This window comes from Homo sapiens, chromosome 1 (genome assembly GCF_000001405.40).
Source record: "Homo sapiens chromosome 1, GRCh38.p14 Primary Assembly".
NCBI lineage: Eukaryota > Metazoa > Chordata > Mammalia > Primates > Hominidae > Homo > Homo sapiens.
The window spans coordinates 97,111,892-97,132,545 of record NC_000001.11 but is presented as its reverse complement, the minus strand read 5'-3'; the positions used below and the strand labels follow the sequence as shown (position 1 = coordinate 97,132,545).

At 36.5% G+C, this 20,654-nt stretch overlaps 1 protein-coding gene and 1 long non-coding RNA gene across 6 annotated transcripts in view, besides 1 other annotated feature; one reads left to right on the top strand and one right to left on the bottom strand.

Annotated features, from left to right (window-relative positions):
- The window catches only part of DPYD (dihydropyrimidine dehydrogenase), an 843,317-nt gene that overhangs the window by 788,514 nt on the left and 34,149 nt on the right, over nt 1-20,654 (top strand). The window lies entirely within an intron of this gene.
- Nucleotides 1-20,654, bottom strand: part of DPYD-AS1 (DPYD antisense RNA 1) — a 227,033-nt gene that overhangs the window by 190,410 nt on the left and 15,969 nt on the right. The gene's annotated exons all lie outside the window — the stretch shown is intronic.
- Nucleotides 17,103-17,972: an enhancer, noted in NCBI's record as "NANOG hESC enhancer chr1:97580130-97580999 (GRCh37/hg19 assembly coordinates)". NCBI's record gives its function as "activates a minimal SCP1, AML or CMV promoter by ChIP-STARR-seq in naive H9 embryonic stem cells {active_cell/tissue: H9 hESC(naive)}" and the evidence as "EXISTENCE:reporter gene assay evidence [ECO:0000049][PMID:30033119]".

The window sequence follows — 20,654 nt, the reverse complement described above, 5'->3', positions numbered from 1 at the left end:
CATTTGTCAAATGTTCTATAGTTATTATTGTTATATTTGAAAAATATAAAGACAAAATGTTTATGCACAATTCCTATTTTATATTAGAAATATGGAGCTGTGAAGATTTCCTCCATCTGATTCATTTCCTAACCCAATACACTGTACCGTAGCTATGTTAATGAATGTGGGGTAGAATAGATTAGTGATAAGATACAACATTGTATTTATCTGTAGAGGCATTTGTATATCACTTGAGGAAAAAATTCTTAGTATATAAAATTTTATTATTAGTAACAGTTCTTACACTGAAGTATTAACGCCAGGAACGATGTTCCTGTTGGTGAAAGCTTTAGCGATGATTTGACTGACTGACCTAAAGAATGCTGAGATGTAGGAAAGTCTGATGAGGATCATAAAGGAATTACATTGTGTATGTGTGTTTTTAAAAATATGTTTGTGGTTTGTTTTTGCTTTTTCAAAATCAACATTTTCCTAGGCTTCTTTCTGCATATTCTTCAAATTTTTAGTTGTGTTTACTTTTAATAGCTCAGTAATTGGGACTGCCACAGAAACCTTTTCAGACATATTTTAAATTGTAGGCACCCTGGCAACCATTTGTCTTCATTTCAAAATCATTTAAGTAAAGGAAAATAAGTGACAAAAAAGTTTTTGTTATGTGAAAAATACAAAAAAAGGTAACCCTAGAAACTAAAATTATTCCATTTTGAATGATCTTTTTTTCTTCATTGCTGGTTTTGTTCATGGATTTTCTTCCTGTTAGGACCTGGATGCCTTGGCGTATTGCACTCTTCATTCTTCGGAGTCTCTACTTTGAACTCCTCAGTAGGAGCACCTTGATTTCACCTCTGTATTGAGTCATATGTGATCAGGTCATGAAGACTGACGTTTGTGCTCAGGTTTCTTCAGATCCTATAAACATTCACACACACACACAAATAGTTATCTCTTCAGCTTCCACTGCTCTTGACCTTCTCAGTGTATTTCAGTTGTCTTGCTCTGACATATAGCAGGGACCAGCAATGCATGCTCTTTGATCTTCTTCTTGTGCACATCCCATAGCACTAACCTTTCTCAGGTGGAGGTAAGAGAGATATTAATGGCCTTTTTGTGACTGCTATCTAGCAAAGTTAGCTGATATAGTGGTGCCTGGGTATTATTACATGCATGAAAAGTACCATTCTCTTTCAGATATTCTGTATGAGGATTATAGCAGGGAAAAATACCACACATTACCTCACTTTTTACCTCAAGTTAGGGAATATAACTCACTAAGAATAGATGAAAGCCAATAAGGATGAGTACCATATTGTTGTGCTCAACTTTGACCAAAAGCCAATTTAGGTTATTTCAAATGACTAGTTACCTCTGACCTGTAGCGTTCCTTTTTTTTTTCTTTTTGATATATTTTAGTGCTTTGAAATTTTGGGAATCCAATCAGGAAATTCTTGAGCATCTTCTATGTGTAAAGTGCTGCCTTTACAGGAAATAGAACTTACTAGCATATTCATTTATTCCCAAACACTGTTCATACTTAAAACTTGTCATAATGATTTTCAGTAATTAAGTAATAACTGGGCATGCAGAAGTTAGATAGATAGATAGATAGATAGAGAGAGAGAAAGAGGGAGGGAGGGAGTGAGGGAGGGAGGGAGGAAAGAAGGAAGGAAGGAAGGAAGGAAGGAAGGAAGGAAGGAAGGAAGGAAGGAGAAAGAAGAAAGAAAGGAAGAAAGAAAGAAAGAGGGAGAGAGGGAAGGAGGGAAGGAAAGGAAGGAAGGAAGGAAGGAAGGAAGGGAGAAAGAAGAAAGAAAGGAAGAAAGAAAGAAAGAGAGAGGGAGAGAGGGAAGGAGGGAAGGAAAGGAAGGAAGGAAGGAAAAAAGAAAAGGATAGAGGAGAGGAAAGGAAAGGAAAAGATCAGATGGTAGGAATTAGAGTGAAAAAGATAAAATGGAGATGGAATAGAGTTAGTATCTATGTGTATGTAAGTCATAAGCTAAATATTATCAGTAGTAGGGATGATATCCCTAATAAAGGGAGTTTAAAAATAATACTCTGAGCAGCCTAGTAACTAATGCAAAAAGTGGAGCAATCACATATAGATCACATGCAGACCACAGGACCTACAGGTATAAACCAATAGAAGAGGTAAAGAGCATCTCCTTCTGGTAGGATTCCCTCAAGAAATGTCTGATGTGTCCATACAAAGAAGATACTTTGTTCTAGAACCACATCTCTGATACAAATGCAACAACAGGTTCCATAATGTAGCATTTTATACTTTCTTTTCTCACTCGTAACCATGGAAAGAATTTTGCAAAGGACTCTCCAGCTAACCAGATCTCTAAAGATCTAGCTTAAATTTAGAACACCTAGAAATAAAATTTAGAGAATTCAGAAAAGTGGATCCTTCAAAGTATTCTCCTTAAATATTTTATTTTCACATCTATGTTTGCTCAAGACTCGGTGGTGGACAACATGAGAGTAGCAGTGAAATTTTCCTGTATTGCTATTTAAAGGCAGTGAGTGCCTTTTTATTTTACCTTCTAATAGAATATCAACAGGAAAGGCTGGACATTTAGAAATGTCAGGGTATGGACCAGGAGAATCCTCGTGAGCAAAACCAACATTCTGTGTAAAGATAATCCTGAGTCTATTTAAAACACACTGTGAAATGGGTAACGGAGATGTTGAAGATGACATGAAGATGCAGTTTACAGTCACTGGGTGCAAACAGGAGTTAAAACTGCAAAGTATAATAAAAAGCAGAATAAAAATGCTACAATAGGATGCAATGACAGTAGACTTTCTAAAAGAAATAACCATCTTGTGGTGGCATGTTAGAGGGTAATTTGAGTGAGGAAGCCTAGCATTAAAAGAGACTGACTAAGAAACTATTGGAATAGGCCATGTGAGATCAGTTCAAGGGCCTGAAACCTGCGGAAGAGCCACGGAAATGAAGGGGAAGAGTGAGTGAGAGAGATGGGAGAGGAAAATGACTGTGCTTGGTGACCAACTAGGGGCAACAGCAAAGAAGTCAGAGGTCACACGAAGCTTTCTAGTCTCTGCAGCTGTGTTACTATATATCAATGATCGTGACAAGGAAGACCAAGATGGAATATATGAGGCAACTGAAAATTTGAATCTAGCACTCAGCAAATGACCATTTTAAGAATACAGCAGGACCGGGTGTGGTGGCTCACACCTGTAATCCCAGCACTTTGGGAGGCCAAGGCAGGAGGATCACCTGAGGTTAGGAGTTCGAGACCAGCCTGGCCAACATGGTGAAACCCTGTCTATACTAAAAAATACAAAAAATTAGCTGGGTGTGGTGGCACGTGCCTGTAGTCCCAGCTACTTGCAAGGCTGAGGCAGGAGAATCTCTTGAACTGGGAGGTGGAGGTTGCAGTGATCCAAAATCATGCCATTGCACTCCATCCTGGGTGACAGAGCAAGACTCCATAAAAAAAAAAAAAAAAGAATACAGCAGGACCTTTTAGAATGAGTATTTGCATGTTTCCAAGAATAACTACAGATAAGCTCTGTAAGGAACAATGTTGCAAGCTCCGGCTTGGACAAAGTTTGGGTGGGCTTCAGTGGGAGAGGACAGAAAAATGGTATTTTTTGTCACTCCTCCATCCACACTCTACTTTTCTCTCCTTCCCTCCATCTCAGTTGATACTATCCTACAACATACAGTATTCAAATATTGTTTCAGGAAATATTTACTTTAATCTTTAGGAGAGAAAAAAGCAAAAAACAAAAATACCCTAATAGCATCAAAGTTAGCATAGCACAATTCCAGACTTCTGCTCATTGTTGAAATAGAAGGGCTTCTGTTCAGTCTGCAAGAGTCTTGATATACTGCAGTGTTCCTGCTACACAGGCAGGCAGCAATCCCTCCCCGAGTCCCGTAAGAGCATTTTACATTTTCTTCCCATCTTTCAGCTCATAAACATGTTTCTCTTCAGAACACACACCATATGCCATTGGAAAAGGGCTGTAAAGTTTTATAGATATATTTGAAAGTATTATAAGGGTATACTAAAGCAAAACTAATGCAAAGGAATTGGAATTATTGAACAATGGAATTAAAATATTAGGCACGGATAACTCTAACCACACTCAGCTTGTTTGTTTGTATAAGTCATAAAAACCCGGAACTCTTGTTTAGTTCAAAGACATGAAGCCTTTGAGTCAGGCTTAAAAAAAAATCAGCAATGGCTATACTTTATTGAAAGCATATATGCCAGGCATCAGTAAATGAGAACTCAAGAATATGTATGTTTCTGTAATAGCCTAAATAATATATATGATGCTCTACATATTTTGGGGTGAGAAAACTTATTGCATTGCATCTTGTTTGCAATTCCTTGGGATTTTTCTGCAGGCATCCTTTTTCTGAAGGGATTAATGCATTCATTTAATCAGAATTATTTAGTGCCTGTTTCAGTGAGAGTGTTCAAGGATACAGAATAGAAATACTAATACTTGATACTGAGGAACCTGCACTCCAGCATGAACCAACACTTATTCATTCACACATTTATTAAGCACTCAACAAATTTATTGAGTGCCGACTGCTATGTACTTGGTCTGTGCAAGATTAGCAATACATACATGGTTTGTTATTGCAGTACATGGAACCGTGTGTGGAAGATAATGGCCTCTGTTTAATATACTCTTCCCATAATCCAAGAAGATGCTCAGTGGAGTTTAGCCATGAGTTGGTGTTTCAAAAAAGAAACAATACAGGAGCTGTAAGACAAGGAAATGGCTCCAGAAATGGAAATGTTGATGTCAAAGGTCTCAAAATAACTAAAAAAATATATAATCTGTAGCAAGTAAATTAGTACTGGAAAGATGCCAGTAGGGGACTACTGCAGAAACTAATTGTTGGGATTTTGAGCCTGATGTAAGTAATAGAGCTTAATGAGGATGGGGGAAAATGAGTTGATGAATACCTTTCTAGCAACCTTCAAGTTGGAATTTCTAGAATTATTTAGAATGTCATAAAATAATAGGAAAAGGAGGTGGAATGGGATACGAGGGGTTTCTGTAGCTTCATAGAAAAAGGAGTTAGGTACAGAAATGCTGCGTAGGAAGATGAAGCAAGAGTCAGCCAATGAGAGATGTACAACTCTGCACAGAAGCTTTTACTAGTCTCCTTTGCCTACAAAAATGTAACTTCCAAGACCCTCCCCTACCTGGACCAACCCAGGCTCCCTTTTCAACATACCATCAGCATTGCTACCCTTCTTCATAAACACTGAGGTCCAGTCAGGCTTTGATCTGTAGTTTCCATGTTCTGTTTTCCTCTTTGTCACAAACATCATCTCACGGCTTGGAATGTCTTTTCTCTTTATGCTGTAATGTCCAGACTTTGCATATGCTGTCAGGCCTTGTTCGTGTCCAAGAAGGCCTGCCTTATCCTCCAATTGAATGTGTCACTTCCCTTGTATGAAGCTTGCCATTTGCTACGTTTATACTTGTCTTCCCTTTTCAATTAGACTGTAAGCCCTTTGTGAGCAACATCCAAGTACTATTTATCTTTGGGTTCCTTAGAAAACCTTGTAAAGTACTTTGTACATAAACACAACTCAAAAATATTTGTTGAATGAATAAAGGACTGCCCAGGCAGAGCAAGGTACAAAAGTCCTAAAGAAAATATAAAATTTGAGAAAATTTCAAGATGCTGTTCCCAGGGAATTTTAAGAAAAACTGAAATGTGGAAATCATGTGCAAAAGACACGCTAAAGAGAAAATGAAGTTTTAGCTACCATTCACCTGTTCATTTACTCAACGAATGTATTTGAACAGTTGTCTGTGACAGACAGCATGCTATTAATATTACAAGATTCTGTCCTAGGCCTGAGGGAAAGTCAGGTACTCAGTATAGTGTAGTAAATACTAAGAATGAGTTAATCTCAGATGTGATAGAAGTGAGTGTCATCAGGGAGTGCTTCCTGGAGAAGGCCATATCAAGGTGGGACCTAGGACATAGTAAGGATTCACCTATTAGATTATGTTGGAGGAAGGGTATATGAGACCCAGCATGCACGTGCATAGACTGAGGGGCATGATATGTAATGGAACATTAGGGGCCTGCAAGGAATTTGATTTGGTACAAGCTTGAGTGTGAACAAGTGGAGAAAGGGGCCAGGGAGGCAAATCCAAGCAAGTGCTTGCTTTGTTAAGATCCAGAGCTTTCAATAAAACATGTATATAAAAATGCCTTATAATCTATAGGTAATTAAAAAACAAGTAGGATGGGAACAAGTGTCAGATACATCTAGAAGTTCTACTTGAGCAAATTTATCAAATACTCATGTGTGGAGGTTGGATTCACCACTGAATACCACATCCATAAGAATGAGGGCCAAAAGAGCAGTTCTGGAAAGAGCCTCACACGCACAGCAAATCTCACTTGTTTTTAAAAATTGGGAATTTCTGACAAGTCAGACAAGAGCATGGCTGAAGTTTATCATTGTACTATTAATCTCAAAAGTTTTACTTTTGAAATTACTTTTTGTACTTAGCCAGTAATGATCTCAAAAGAAAGGAATGATATAAATTATTTCTAAACTAAACCGAATTAACCATTTTAAACTATCTTAAAAGTACCTATTCATATAAAAATAATTTTTTGCTTAGTAGTTTAGACTGCTATGTCAAAATATTATAAATCAGGCTTATAAACCACAGAAATTTATTCCAAAATATAGGTGCTAGCAGGTTTGGTGTCTGGTGAGGGCCTATTATCTGGTTCCTAAACAGCCATCTTTTCACTATAACTTCACATGGTAGAAAGAGGAAGGGGTCTTTCTAAGATCTTTTTTATGAAGGCATTAATTTCAGTTTTTAGGACTTCACCCTCATGACCTAATCACTTCCCAAAGTCCCTACCTCCTACTACCATCACTTTGGAGGTTGGGGTTTCAATATATGAATTGGGGGAGGACACAGTCAGACCATAGCAATTGCTTCTCTGGCTTATTCTGGCCTGTTGAGTAAACTGAGTCTCATTCTCCAGGCCTTTGCAAGTATTCAGCATAGTTACAATAATTATAAGTACTAGAAAGTCATAAAACTGGAATTTCTTTTTTATACCTTTTTACTCAAATCTACTTAATTTTCTATAACAAATGAGATGTTGGATATGAGTGAGAAAAAATGCATCAGAACATCTATGGTGTAATACTTTTTCTGTTTTTTTGTTGAGAAAAACGATCTCATGTGATCAAGATAGTCTTTTGAAAACAAGATTCATCCACATAAATAGGAGACATGTTATACATGTTGAGTCTCCATTCACAAGCAAACAGTCTTATCTTAGTCAAAAATGGGGGATTATTTTAAAATATTTCTTCTTTTCTGAAAATCCAGTTGCCACTGCAAGGTCCTGAAACCACTGATAACTTCCCAAAAGAAGTGGCTTATTTCTTCCCCACTTGTTAGTTTATCTAAAAAGAATCCTTTAAGCCTTTTAAAAAGGTTTCAAAATTAAATTAACATTCTAAAAAAAGAGTTTTGAAGTTGCAGTTTTACTGTATTAATTCAGTCCCTCCAGATGCTATTCAGGGTGAACCTAGAGTTTTTCTTTCATACCCACTAGGAAAAGTACGTACTCTCTAACTTCCCATGTTAGAGCCCACAGGTTTTTAGAGAATATTTATGAACCTCTTGGTTAGCAGATAAAAAGAAGTAAGTGACTTTCTTAAATTCATAAAGCAAAGGTAATCCAGAAAATCACTATGAGGAGATCAGATAAACTATTCACTGTGTGGATGCACAAATATTTGGGGTGGGATAGATCATCCGGGGTGTGCAAAGATGCAGGAAAATTTTAGTAGCATCTAACTTTCCTCAGTGGACTTATATCCACTGAACCCAAACATTTTGTGCCTAGTAGCTGGCCAAATAGGAAGGTTAAATTCCAAGTGGACAATGGAGTCTATATTCTTTCATCCTTTGTAGACACTAAAGCATGTTAAAAGAAATAATGGAAAATACAAAGCACAGATTATTATGTGGACACTGACCTACTGAACCTGTGCTTGGAATAAATCTAGTCCTTTTGTTTCCTTGAACTGTTTTTTTGGGTAACTGTAGCTCTCCATGTTTTTAAAATTACTCAGAAAAGTTACTAAAGTCATAATGTTGAAGCATTGCAGCTCAGTTAGCATGTCTTTCTGCCTTATCTCACAACAAAGTATTAAGAAATAAATAACCTAAGAGTTAGGAGAATTATTTTATTAGGGACTAAAATCTGTCTGGTCAAACTAATGACACATTAAAATACCAGAAATCTGTGCTATTTAGAGCAGGGCGGGGGTGGAGGGCATTTGCTTTGGTAAAATCAGGAAGAAGTCCATTAGGAAATTTTCCTCTGGTTCCTACAGATCAGGCCTTGCATCATTTCAAACCATAAATTCACCAGTTAATCAGTGACTTTCACGCAAAAATTGAGAGTGCAAAATACTCCTTCCAAAGTTGTTTAATGAAGCAAAATCCATGGAAAAGTGAAATGCAAAAAACCATCATGATTTAAAATGCAGAGAGATAGAACTTCACAATGGCAGACCATATTTGGCAGGGACCCAGATTCATTATTGCACATTGACCTGAATCACCCAGGCTACTCTGTATGCTGCAGGGCTCAGAACCTGCACAGTCCTCTGATAACTCAATAAAGGTGTCTGCCGAAACACAGCAGCAACTATAGAGGAAATTGGATATTTCAGATGTTGTAATGAAGCTAACAACAACAACAAAAAATCTGTTAAAGATTAGATAGACTATAAAATAAATTTGGGAAAGATAAATGAGAGAATTAAAACCAAAAGTAAATGTTGATATGCATTCATATATATGTGTCCATGTATATTTTCTTACTTAATAAATGTTCTCATCCATTTTTTAAGCATCTAGATTGTGGATTTTCTTACATTCAAAGGACCAATAAAGAAAAATTTTGTAAATAAGCTAGTGTATAAATGTGATGCCAAGGAGCATATATATTTTTCTTCATATATTTACTTTGTTTATCAGATTCAAAAGTAAGTGAGTCCTCTGGGCTATTGAAGGTACTATATTTCAAACCCTACTCAGATGAATTTTTACTGTTTTTCTTATATTTATTTGATAGCATAATACCAATTTCAGAGGACAATAAAGAACAAAGTCTCAATGAACTAGTTAAATTTAACCTTAATGTTAGAAGCAGAGTTTATTAGAAAAAAATAAATTTTGTCTACAGGAAGTGTGGTAAACTGTTTGTGTGTATATCTTAGTACTGACCGACATATAGAGTAAATATGTTTCTTCTATGTAAAGATACCCAATTTTTGGAATTCAAATGAGAACCTACAATGTTATGGTTAGCATTAGGATTTTCAGCCTATGTTTCATCAGCTGAAAACTGAGGTTTTTCCTTTAAAACTGAAATAAATGTGTCAGCATCATGTTTTACTATTCCCTGGCCACATGGTAGTTAACCTTTACTTTAAAGATAATAGAGGATGGTCTGATCTAACGAGATCCAAGTATAGAAGAAAAATATCTGAGAGTATAGGCAACCTTATATTTAATTTGACTAATCAGAGCAGTGCAATTGAGAACTAAAAAGTCAATTGCATAAAAGAGTCAAGAAATGATCATCCACTAGTCTCTCCAGTAGTCACATTCTTCTCAGGTCCACATACAGTTTTATTGTCAATATTCAGGAAAAAAAAATAAAGATAGCAAGGAGTAAAGAGAAGAGTTTCTTTTTTTAACTGAAGGGATAGAGTAAGTGATATAAGGAAAGATTAAAGCAACATTTTTTTAAAGAACAGTAGACTTGCTTAGTATCATCAGGCATGTAACAGGCTGACTTTTCGCAATGCCATGTGGTAATTATCTGCGTACATATATGAGGAAATAAGATGAAATTGGTTATAATTAAGTTAAAGAGATTTCATTTGAAGAATTCTTAACCATTCAGATTAAGAATACTAGAAAGAATAAGGAGCAAAATTGCAAAGTCTCTGATGGGAAGTCTTTGAAATGTAAGTGTATGACTCTTTATTCTAGAATATTCTACATTTACTGCTTTACAGTTATAAGTTGGATAGATTCCATAGTTCTTAAGCTTTATAGCCTAGTACTTCTAAATACTTATTTACTTGACTAAGCATATTTATCCCTAGCCCCATCACTGCCACAAAACCAAAATAGAGCATCCTTCCTACAGCACAGGCTTCTGAATGAAGTCTGTCTCCTCTTTAAGAGCTATTCCTGGTTACCCAATAAAATAATACAACATGTAAAACCCAGCCTCTATATGATAGTCACCTATCTTTCTAGAATTATCTCTCTTTTCATCCGTACTCCAGCAAACATCTACAAAGGAAGTAGGCTACATGAGGCTAATTGCTACTCCTCAAATGCATTCTGCTTCCCTTAACAGCATTCTCATTGCCTTGAATGCCATTTATCTCATCTCTGGTACTGAAAACATTTCCATCCTTCAAGATTCAAGAATCTTGGACAAACCCTCCTTGATTTCCCATGATAATACATTCCATGCCCTGCTCTAGACTGAAACATGTATGTAAACTTCCCTAGATCATAATCTACTTGCAGACCCAGGCCAGGATGTTGTCTGTCTTACAGTGCCAAGCATGGTACCTATGCTATAATGGCCCTCATTGAATTACTTTGCTTACAGCATGCTGGACTAATAGCTGAAGCCTTTTTTCGAGCCCAAACCAACTAGGTTTATTTTTTATTTCAGCCACACATAAGTCCCAGGATCTGACTCTGTTTATAAGCCCACCTTTGGGCTAATTCCTTACCCTGGATTTGGAGTTTGGCTCCTTCTCCCGTACCAAGTTCAGCTCTTGTAGAGTTCAAAAGCACCCTGAAAGCAAGAGGTGGTTTTCTTTCCAACAGAGTTGTTACATGCATCAACCTATATAATGCAGCCATTCCTGCACCCAAGAAACAACTGGCCAGAAGTGACCTCATGATAATTCTTTGGGAAACATGTTTTTGAGCACCTGCAGTATGTTAAAAACAGTCCCATACCCTGAGGATTATTTAGTAAACAGCAGTATACTTACATATCATTGGAATGGGGATAGATAATAAAATAAGTAAATTATAAAGTGATATTGAAAGTCAGAAGTGCCAAGAGGGGAAAAAGTCATGGAAGGGATATAGTGAAGGCCAATGAGTGGCAGGAGGCAGGGAAGAATTTTAATGTCAATGGGATGATTAGGAAAGTTCCCACTGAGAATGTGATATTTGAATAAAGGCTTGAAGAAACAATTTCTTGACACAAGATTCCTACTGGAAAGGTAGCAGGTCCTCACCTGCTCAGGGGCTCCACCCCTCTGCATCTCCACCATGGCACTAGTGCAGTGTGGTGTGGAGTTGACCTCATTCTCCTGTGGCAGCATCATTCCCAGAGTAAATTAAGTTTCTATCCCTGGCTTATTCTAGAGTTGTGAAATACAGAGAGAAAAGAGTAAAACCAGAGTTATTTTATGATCCCCTGACAGAAAACACAGTGTTATTTATTACTTAGAACTCTCCCCAGAGATTAATCAAGATTTAATATCCCTAGTTGACTAATATGCTCAGGCATCACCATTAATACATACTTAGACACTTGGCATTCCATTTTAGTAGTTTCACAAACATCTTTAGCAAAGCTAACTAACACTGTGGTCCCAGATTATTTTCTCGCTAAAGACCCTCCATATTTCTTCAACTTGCTGAGCTCACACCATTTGCAAAAGAAGCTTTGTACTTACAGGAAAACATGGAGGGCTTAGTATGTGCCCCATGGTTTTTACAGCCATACTACTAAAAACGTGGTTGGGGGTGCAGAGGAGAGACTCAGAGCATTTTCACATTTTCCTATTGACACAAATTGGCTGTTTTGACAAGGTAAAGTCGTGGCATAGGATTTTTTAGATAAATTAACAGAATGAAAGTGCTAAATTAAAATTGCAACATTGATTTCCTTTTTAGCTCAGCTGTGCATTATATAAAAGGGTCAGGAGAAGGATTTATTACTGGCGATGAGGCTCTGTCGTCCGCTAAGAGACTGGTATATAAAATAAAGTTGTCCATTTCAGACACCCTTTGTCTTCAAGGAAAGCTGTCTAGGTGGCCCATGGGTGGCAAAGGCGCTGAAAGGAAATGGAAATTGATAATCGGTCCTGTTAGGCTGATTCTCTGCATGTTCAATTCATATCCTTTTGAAAAGAAGAGATTAAGATGAAACCTCATTGAGGAATACACATTTTGAAGAAAATAGAAACAAAGGTTCTGCAAGGCTATTTCAGTTGGTGTCAAATGTGAGAACAAGGCGACACAAACTTATATGAAGAAAGGGCATTAACAAAATCCCCAGACAAAGAAGGAGCTAATAGCAAATATATGCAGCCGTCTTTGTGGATGCTCACAGGAGAAGTGGTACAACTTGATTTACAAAGGGCCTGGATAATTATTTGTTACTTGGAGCCAACCCTGCCTCTCCCTCTGCAGAGGGCAGGCACTGACCATCTGCGGGTCTTCGTTTAGCTTTTGTGTGGATGAGAATTAGCCACATTTCTGCATCTGGTAAGCTTTGCATGAAGAGATGTTTGAAGCACTGGCTTTGTTTTGTTTTAAATCTTTAAACTGCTCCCTCAGCTTCAGTCAGAGGATTACTGCACATCTAACCACGAATAAATTGAAATATCAGCTGAAGAGAGCGCATGTTGCTTGCTGGTGGAATAATGGATGGCAGGTGGTAGAGGGTTTTGTTTTCAGAAAAGCACAGGAGGCTAGAAGTGACAAGAGTGATTTTGTGAGAGGGCTGAAACTGTCAGGATGAAGTCAGAGGGGTCAGTAGTTCCTGAGCTGACCTTTTTAAACAAATCCTGAGAAGACCTTTTACTGGATCCTCACAGCAGTTGCACATTCATGCCAGAAAGGTTGCCCCTCCTTCTAGATATTGAGAATCCTAACAAAAAGCATATTTTCTATGATAGGGCCCATGTTCACCCACGTGGTAGCCTGACACTCCCTCTCCTGTCAGCCCATGACACACAATCCTAACTGCTCACCTGCTCCACCACACACACACACCAGCATTTGAGCTGTCCCTTAACACTTTTCTGCAGTCTTTGATATCATCTTCCTGTCAAATCACAGAAATCAAGGGACTGGGCTGCAAAGCGGGACACTCGTGTGCTAATTTCCATGTCATTGCTTTGAATGGTTTTCTAGCATGGAGAGCTGTTACCTGACTTCTGGAGACATACTAAAGTGCTGAGACCCATTGTAGATGGCCTAAAAATTCACTTCTCAATGTTCATAAGCCAGAATTATAGAATGCACTGCCATATGGCTTTTTTTTCAAATAAATATTGTTCTGTTTGAGCTCTGTTATGTCACTGGAAGTCACAATAAATCACACACTTAGTATGCTTTCTAATGAATGCTTGTTGTTCAAAATTCCCAATACCTGAAGGAAAGAACCTTCTGTCCCCAAAGTCTGTGAAAAAAAATGAGGGATTTTCTCCCGTTGTCACTAAATATTATTATATTATTGTATCCTCTTCCATTATTTTTTTTCTTTCCTGTTTGCAACTGGCACAGTAATTTACTCATTCAACATCAATCCTCAGATGATATGCGCTAAACCACCAAAATGTGAGTTATTAAAGACAAACAAACAAGTTTTTTGAAAGTTTTGAAGCAAATAAATGTGATTATAAAACTTAGAATATTTTTCTTCCATTTGGTTCTATGTAGTTATCTAAACTTCTGAGTCGACAGTAAAAGGGAAATTTGGTGACTGATTCCTTAGATAAGAGTTAATTTTTGAATCTGGCAGAAAAAATATTTAAAACAAAGCCCTAGAACCTGAATCTCCTTATTGAGTATTGATTCCACGTTCAGTACTCTTCAATGGGCACTGCTGTTTCCAGGCACTTAAACAGCAATGCAGCTTATATTGTTGAACCATGTTTTTTTGATGCCCTCCTCAGTTCCTGCCCCATGCAGAAGCCAGGAAGCATGGAATCTACTTTATAGTTATCTCTTGCTTTCTACCTGTGTGTTTTTAAATGGCTTTGTATGTTGGAAAAGTTTCTGGCTTAGAAAAAAAAATGTTAAAAAGAAAGAGAAATGGAAAGAGAGTTTAAGCAGAAGGTTAACGACAGGGTGGGAAACAAAAGGGGGAAAAAGAAGGTGTTATCACAATAAAATCTGAAGATTATCAAGAGAGCTCAGGGTGCCCAGAGTCTGGGTGGAAGACCCGCCTGGACTGGGAGACGATGTGCTGGCCTCTAAGGGATGTCACTTCCCCCTTGCATCAGCAAGGTCAGTCTTAGGAAGAACCGAAAGAAAAGGAAAAATAAAACAAAAGGTGACATTTGAAAAGAAAAGATCAATAGATATATACAATTACAATGAAATCTCAAGCAAAAAGGAAGCAAAAATGTATTCTATAAGAATGAAAACAGAATCCTTTAATTCTCTACTGTTACCTCAAACGCAGGAGAGAATTAAATAGTGAAAAGGTGTTATATATAATTATTTGGTCAGAAAATCTAGAGAGAGGAGTAATTTCTTGTCAAATAAAAACTACTAAAATTGATTATGTAGTCAATAATCATCCATAGAATTGGAAGCAAATTTTAAAATTTATTATTAAAAAGATATCAGGCACAAGTGATTTCACATCTGACTAGCTAATTGTTTTATCAGAGTTTCTATGTTATTTCAACAATTACAACTTATAGAAAGGTACAGAAAACTCCCTAATAAATTTATGAACCTTGACCAACTTTAATACTAAATCCTGACAATAGTACAACCCAGAAAATTGTAGACCAAAATTATAGACCATTTTCACTTATGAATAAAGATGCAAAAGTTCTAAAGAAAGTATGATAAATTGCATCTTCGACATTCTAGCGACACTAAAAGTTTCTTGCAATATGTATACAATGGATTGTCTTTCTCCTAATTGTCTCTGTATTAACTTTATAGAATGAATGTGGGTAAACCTTAGGAAATAGGTTGAATTAGTACATAAGAAACATGATAAGAGTGCTTGACCCAGCTTCCTGTAAATGTCCTCTGCAGTTATATAGCAATAAAAAAGCTTTGCTTTAGCATATGGTTCTGAAACGATCTTCTAGTGAAGATTGTTCAGGAAGTCTTTCTTCATCCATACGTTCACATATAGTTGAAAGCAGCAGATAAATGAGCGACACTTGATAATTACAAGGCATTCAGTCAATCAATCAATAAAGATTTTATTTTGGAAACTTTGTAGTGTTAGCACATTCAACCTGTCATATGCTTTTATTCCAGGGGTCTGGAGTTGCATTTTTTTTTTATGGAGTCCTGCTCTGTTGTCCAGGCTGGAATGCAGTGGTGTGATCTCTGCTCACTGCAACCTCTGCCTCCAGGGTTCAAGCGATTCTCTTACCTCAGCCTCCTGAGTAGCTGGGATTACAGATACACACCACTATGCCTGGCTAATTTTTTTTTTTTTTTTTTTTGTATTTTTAGTAGACATGGGGTTTCGCCATGTTGGCTAGGCTGGTCTCGAACTCCTGACCTCAGGTGATCCACCCACCTCGGCCTCCCGAAGTGCTAGAATTACAGGTGTGAGTCACTGGCCTGGAGTTGCCTTTTTGAGCATTTTCTGAGGTAGATATCTAAAGACAACTCAAATTTATCTGTATATAAAACACTGCAGAAAGGAGATTGTGTACAAAAATTAATCCTGTGAGAAAAACTACCCATTTCCATAGTAAATCCATGATTTGTCATTTTATTTGTATATTTATATATTTGTATCTTTTATTTATTTATTTATTTTGAGACAGGGTCTTCCTCTGCTGCCCAGGCTGGGGTGCAGTGACACAATCCTGGCTCCCTGCAGCCTTGACCTCCTGGGCTCAAGCAATCCTTCCACCTCAGCCTTCCGAGTAGCTGGAACTACAGGTGCATGCCACCACACCCAGCTAAGTTTTGTATTTTTTGTAGAGACAGGTTTCACCATGTTGCCCAGGCTGGTTTTCAACTCCTGGGCTCAAGTAATCTGCCTTCCTTGGCCCCCCGAAGTTCTGGGACTATAGGTGTGTGCCACTGTGCATGACCAATTTGTCATTTTACATCAGCTATAGTTTATATCTGGACCTCCTAAGCTTGTGTCTTGGTAAGATGCACTATAGCCCCCCCGTTAAAAGGCAGTCGTGGTGCAGGCAGTTTGGGTGTGCTCATTGAATAGGGAGCCAGCTAGAGGGATCAATACCTAAAAAATTGTAGGTGCTCAGCAAACATTGGTTTAAGTTAAATGTTTAACTTATTTGGGAAGACAAACTTTTAATCTGTGTTTTTGTATATAAATATTCTCATATGTATATCCTCCTAAATGTATTTCTTCTTTGAGAGCTGCAAATAGAAAAGAACTCACTCTAATAAAAGCTAACATTATAGTTTTAATTCTTGGAAAGTTAGCATCACAGTTTAATTCTTGGAGGATATTAATTTGCCAACACCCCATATAGACCTAAAATGTAGGAGTTTCATATTCTCAGGAATAAAAAAAATCTATATCCTCAAACATATGCAGTGCTTTGCTGAACTGAATGAGCATTTCTTACTTATTATGTATTTAACCATATTTTAGAAGTGGGCCTCAGGTCTACTTATCATATTTCCATCTGTGTAGTCATTACATATGCATCCTCCCACAGCATACATTTCTTTGATATCTACCATTCTAAATTACGATTTGAGATTCATATTTTAAAAACATATAAGGTAACAATTGTGACCATAATAATGATTGTAATTTTCTTCCTGCATAGGTTTTTATAACCATTTCTGTTAGTGTGACTTTTAAGACAATACTTTTAAGAACATTTTCCTCATTATAAAAGTAGTGTGTGCTCACTGTAGAAAATTAGGAAAATACATAAGTATAATAAAAACTATATTAGGATCATACTGTATGTGCTGCTGTAATCCTGCTTTCTCTTTCACTTAAAAATATATTATGGAAGCATTTTACATGCACCTTTTAATTCTTCTAAACGTGCTTCTCTTTGAAATGGCCACGTAGGATTTTCAGGAGTAAATACCAATTTTGTCAATTTGCTATTTTAGAACTTTCAAACAATAAAATCAGAATCCATGTTGATGACAAACTGAAGAACTCATGGGGGCCAATGCTGGTAGTCAAGGACTTTTCTCTCAAACACAAAATGTTGCAATACCATAAGAAACAAGTCAAAGCAAGGGAAGACCCCAAATTCAGCACCCACCCTTTATTCTGTGTGTTGACACAAAACATTGATGAAAGCAAGTGAAGAGTGAGCCTCCTCATATTGTCCTCTGTGTAATAGAACCCACACCATTGTATAAGCAGTAATGACTTCTTTGGCCGTAACTTAAAGACATCCTATTTACACTATGGTCCTTTTTTCAGTTGTGAATAGAGTGCATTTAAATTACAAACTTGGAAGGAAGAGGTAAAAGGATTACCAAGTGTGAGAGATGAATGACAAAAAGCAGTAAATCCTATGCGATCAGAAGGATAAGTCTCACAGTTCATCTGACATAAGAGATGGATTACAATGGCTCTGAAGTGGAAGACAGTTTACTTAGAAATTTAGCAGTAATTTGCATTTAAGGAATGCATTAGTGTATTCACATATACAGTTTCATCATTGGATGGTTAACAGGAATATATGGTATTTGTTTGTGATTTTATTGAATATGATGGGTTTTTTTTCATCATTCAGGGAAAATCTGCTTTCCTCAGACTATTGGCTGCCATAACCACCATCAGCCATTAAATGACGTAGTGATGCTGTATTGACACTGTCCTGTGTATCTTTCTCTTTGTGGCTCATTCTGCCCTAGAAAAATATCTCTAAGGGGCAGTGCCAGAATTAACCCCTGCACACTGATCAACAGAAACTTCTTCTAGAAATAACTAAGTCTGTCAACCTTTCAAATATTTAACTCATGCAAAGACATTCATGGAGAAATACAAGAGGGAAATCATTCTCTTATAAAATGGTTAGGACATCCTGAGTTTCTTTGAAGGAACAAATATTGCTTATGCTATTTTCTCCTTGAATTCACATTAGAAGACACAAATACAAATATATAATGTACATAGTCTTTAACCTAAAAAATTCTTTAGCACCACATACCTCTAGAAGAGTAGAAGAGATATGGATAGGAAAATGGAGTCAAGAAACAATAAAGACACCTGTCTCAGAAGTTTTCAGGTATGGACTTAACCCGACTCAAGAACATACGGTAATGTCCACCCTCACCTCTCTTTCTTTGTGATAGTCACTCATCGTTTTCTGGGATAATGCTGGAAGTAGAACAAGGTTTATTCTTTGCTTTTCTATGATGGCAAATTTTGAAGTTTTATAATCCAAAATGTGGACTTTCATTCATAAATAGGGTTTTAGGAATGATGATGTAATTTCCATGTAGCATCGCCCTAGGAGTAATGAGATGCCATTACTGTATTATGGCTACTAACAATGATGAGAAGGAGACTTAGAACTGAGCCAGTAAGTATTTAGAAAACACAATGCATTTTACCAAATCTAAGACATGCATTTTTTCATTTTTAATACCTCTGAATCAGTTTGTCTTACAATTGATTATATCGTCAAGTTACCAGATGCTGAATGTGAAAAAGTTTTAGTAATATTTTAAACAACATATTTTCCTTATATTTTCTTGTTTATTGTATTAATAAACAATGTATGATAGCATCTTAAATGTGATGAAATATAGAGCTGTGCTTTTAATTTGTAATAAATGAAGGTAAAATTATTCACTGTTTTGGTAGTACTTATAACTGATATTCAAATATATCAACATATACCATCTCCAAAACTCCCCTAGACAAAGAAAACACATTGTCTTGGAAAGACGTTCCACAAAATGAAATTGAAAATCTCATCCTGATTCTGTTTAGAAACTTACTTTCTCAAATCTAACTAATGGGGTATTGGGCCAGGTAGATTAGTGAATTCCACACATAATCCCCCCAAACTCAATTTATTCATTAAATTCACTTCTTCTTCCTCTACGAAATGGATTCCTAAGGCTAGAGGACTAACCAGCTAGATCAATTTATTACCTTTTCTTACCTTTCCTTTCTGATAGTCAATAATGAAAGAAATGCACAAGTCAGAAAGAAGCAGTAACACAAGGGCCCAGATTATCCCTAAATGGAAAAACCATCCCTAGATAACAGAGAGCCCGCTGTAGCTTTAAATCTTTCTATAGGATTCAGTTCAAAATATTGGGGTAGAATATAGATACCATATATGTATTATGGATATGCATTGTATGTATATGTGTGTATATGCACAGTAGGCACACACATATTTAATTACACAGTCACATGTGTTAAAAAGGCTTTGACCACAATGTTCTGAAAACCACTCTTAAGAAGCAAGAATGTGCATGTTAAAGTTACTTTCTGGGTTAACAGAGATGAGGAGAAAAGTTATTGGGGTTTGCGAATTTATTTTAAATACATTCCTTAAAAATACCCACTGACCTACATTTATTGAAAGAAAAACAGTCAACTACAAATGTAATTGTTATCCTGTCAAGAATTTATTAATAGACAGGCTGATGTCATCTTTGTTTAAATGCTCTAAGTTGACCGAATTTCATTTACATTAATGGATGGAAAGTCCTTTTCTTACTTGTCCAACAAACTGGAGACAAAGTGCCTGCCAATGTTTTAATTTCTTTTTCATGTTCTAGTTAGAGAGTGAGAAGAATGCTTTCACTCCACAGTGTCATGAATATGATAATCTATGGAAATCACGGGAAAGCAGGTACTTAACTTAAGCATATACTGTACTACAGGAATCCCTGATGAATTCAAGTCTCTTCTGTTTAGAGAAGATGTTGTTGCCTGTGAAGTGACACACTGCCAGATGTTCGTGAAGTAGCATGGTAGCAGGCTCAGATCTTAGCATCTTCCCTAACCCCCACAGATGACAGCATCTAGTTTAGGCTACAGAATGGTCTTGCTTTCATTCTTTAAGCACTAGTGTTTACATTTACTTGTCAACTATCAAATCTTCATTTTCTTAATTTTACTTATTTAAACATGTGGAGCACAAAATTACATAACTGTATGAGCAATCCTGACTTTATACAGTGTATGCAGTCTAAATGTGAAATAAGCAGTTCTCCATCACGTACAACATGCTTAATCCATTGACTTCCCTTATAAATGCTGGAGAAATGGTTTGCTGAAGGGATGGGAAATGTTTACTATATCGTAATATTAAGCACAAGGCAAAATATTTTAAAAGCACATTTTTAAAAAATAAATACATTAATATAGTGTCACTGTGTACATAAGTAATTCACAAAGTTAATAAAAAGCTATGAGACATTGCTAGAATTTCTATAATAAAAATAATGTTGATGATAAGAATTTCTATAATGATGGCAAAGAGGCCTATTAAGTGCCTATTGTGTATGAAGCTCTGGCTTCACTCTATACAATTTATATAAATTATATAATCTTTACAACCTTATAAAATATTATTCCCATTTTATGAGTGAGGAAACTGAGATCTTACAAAAGTTAA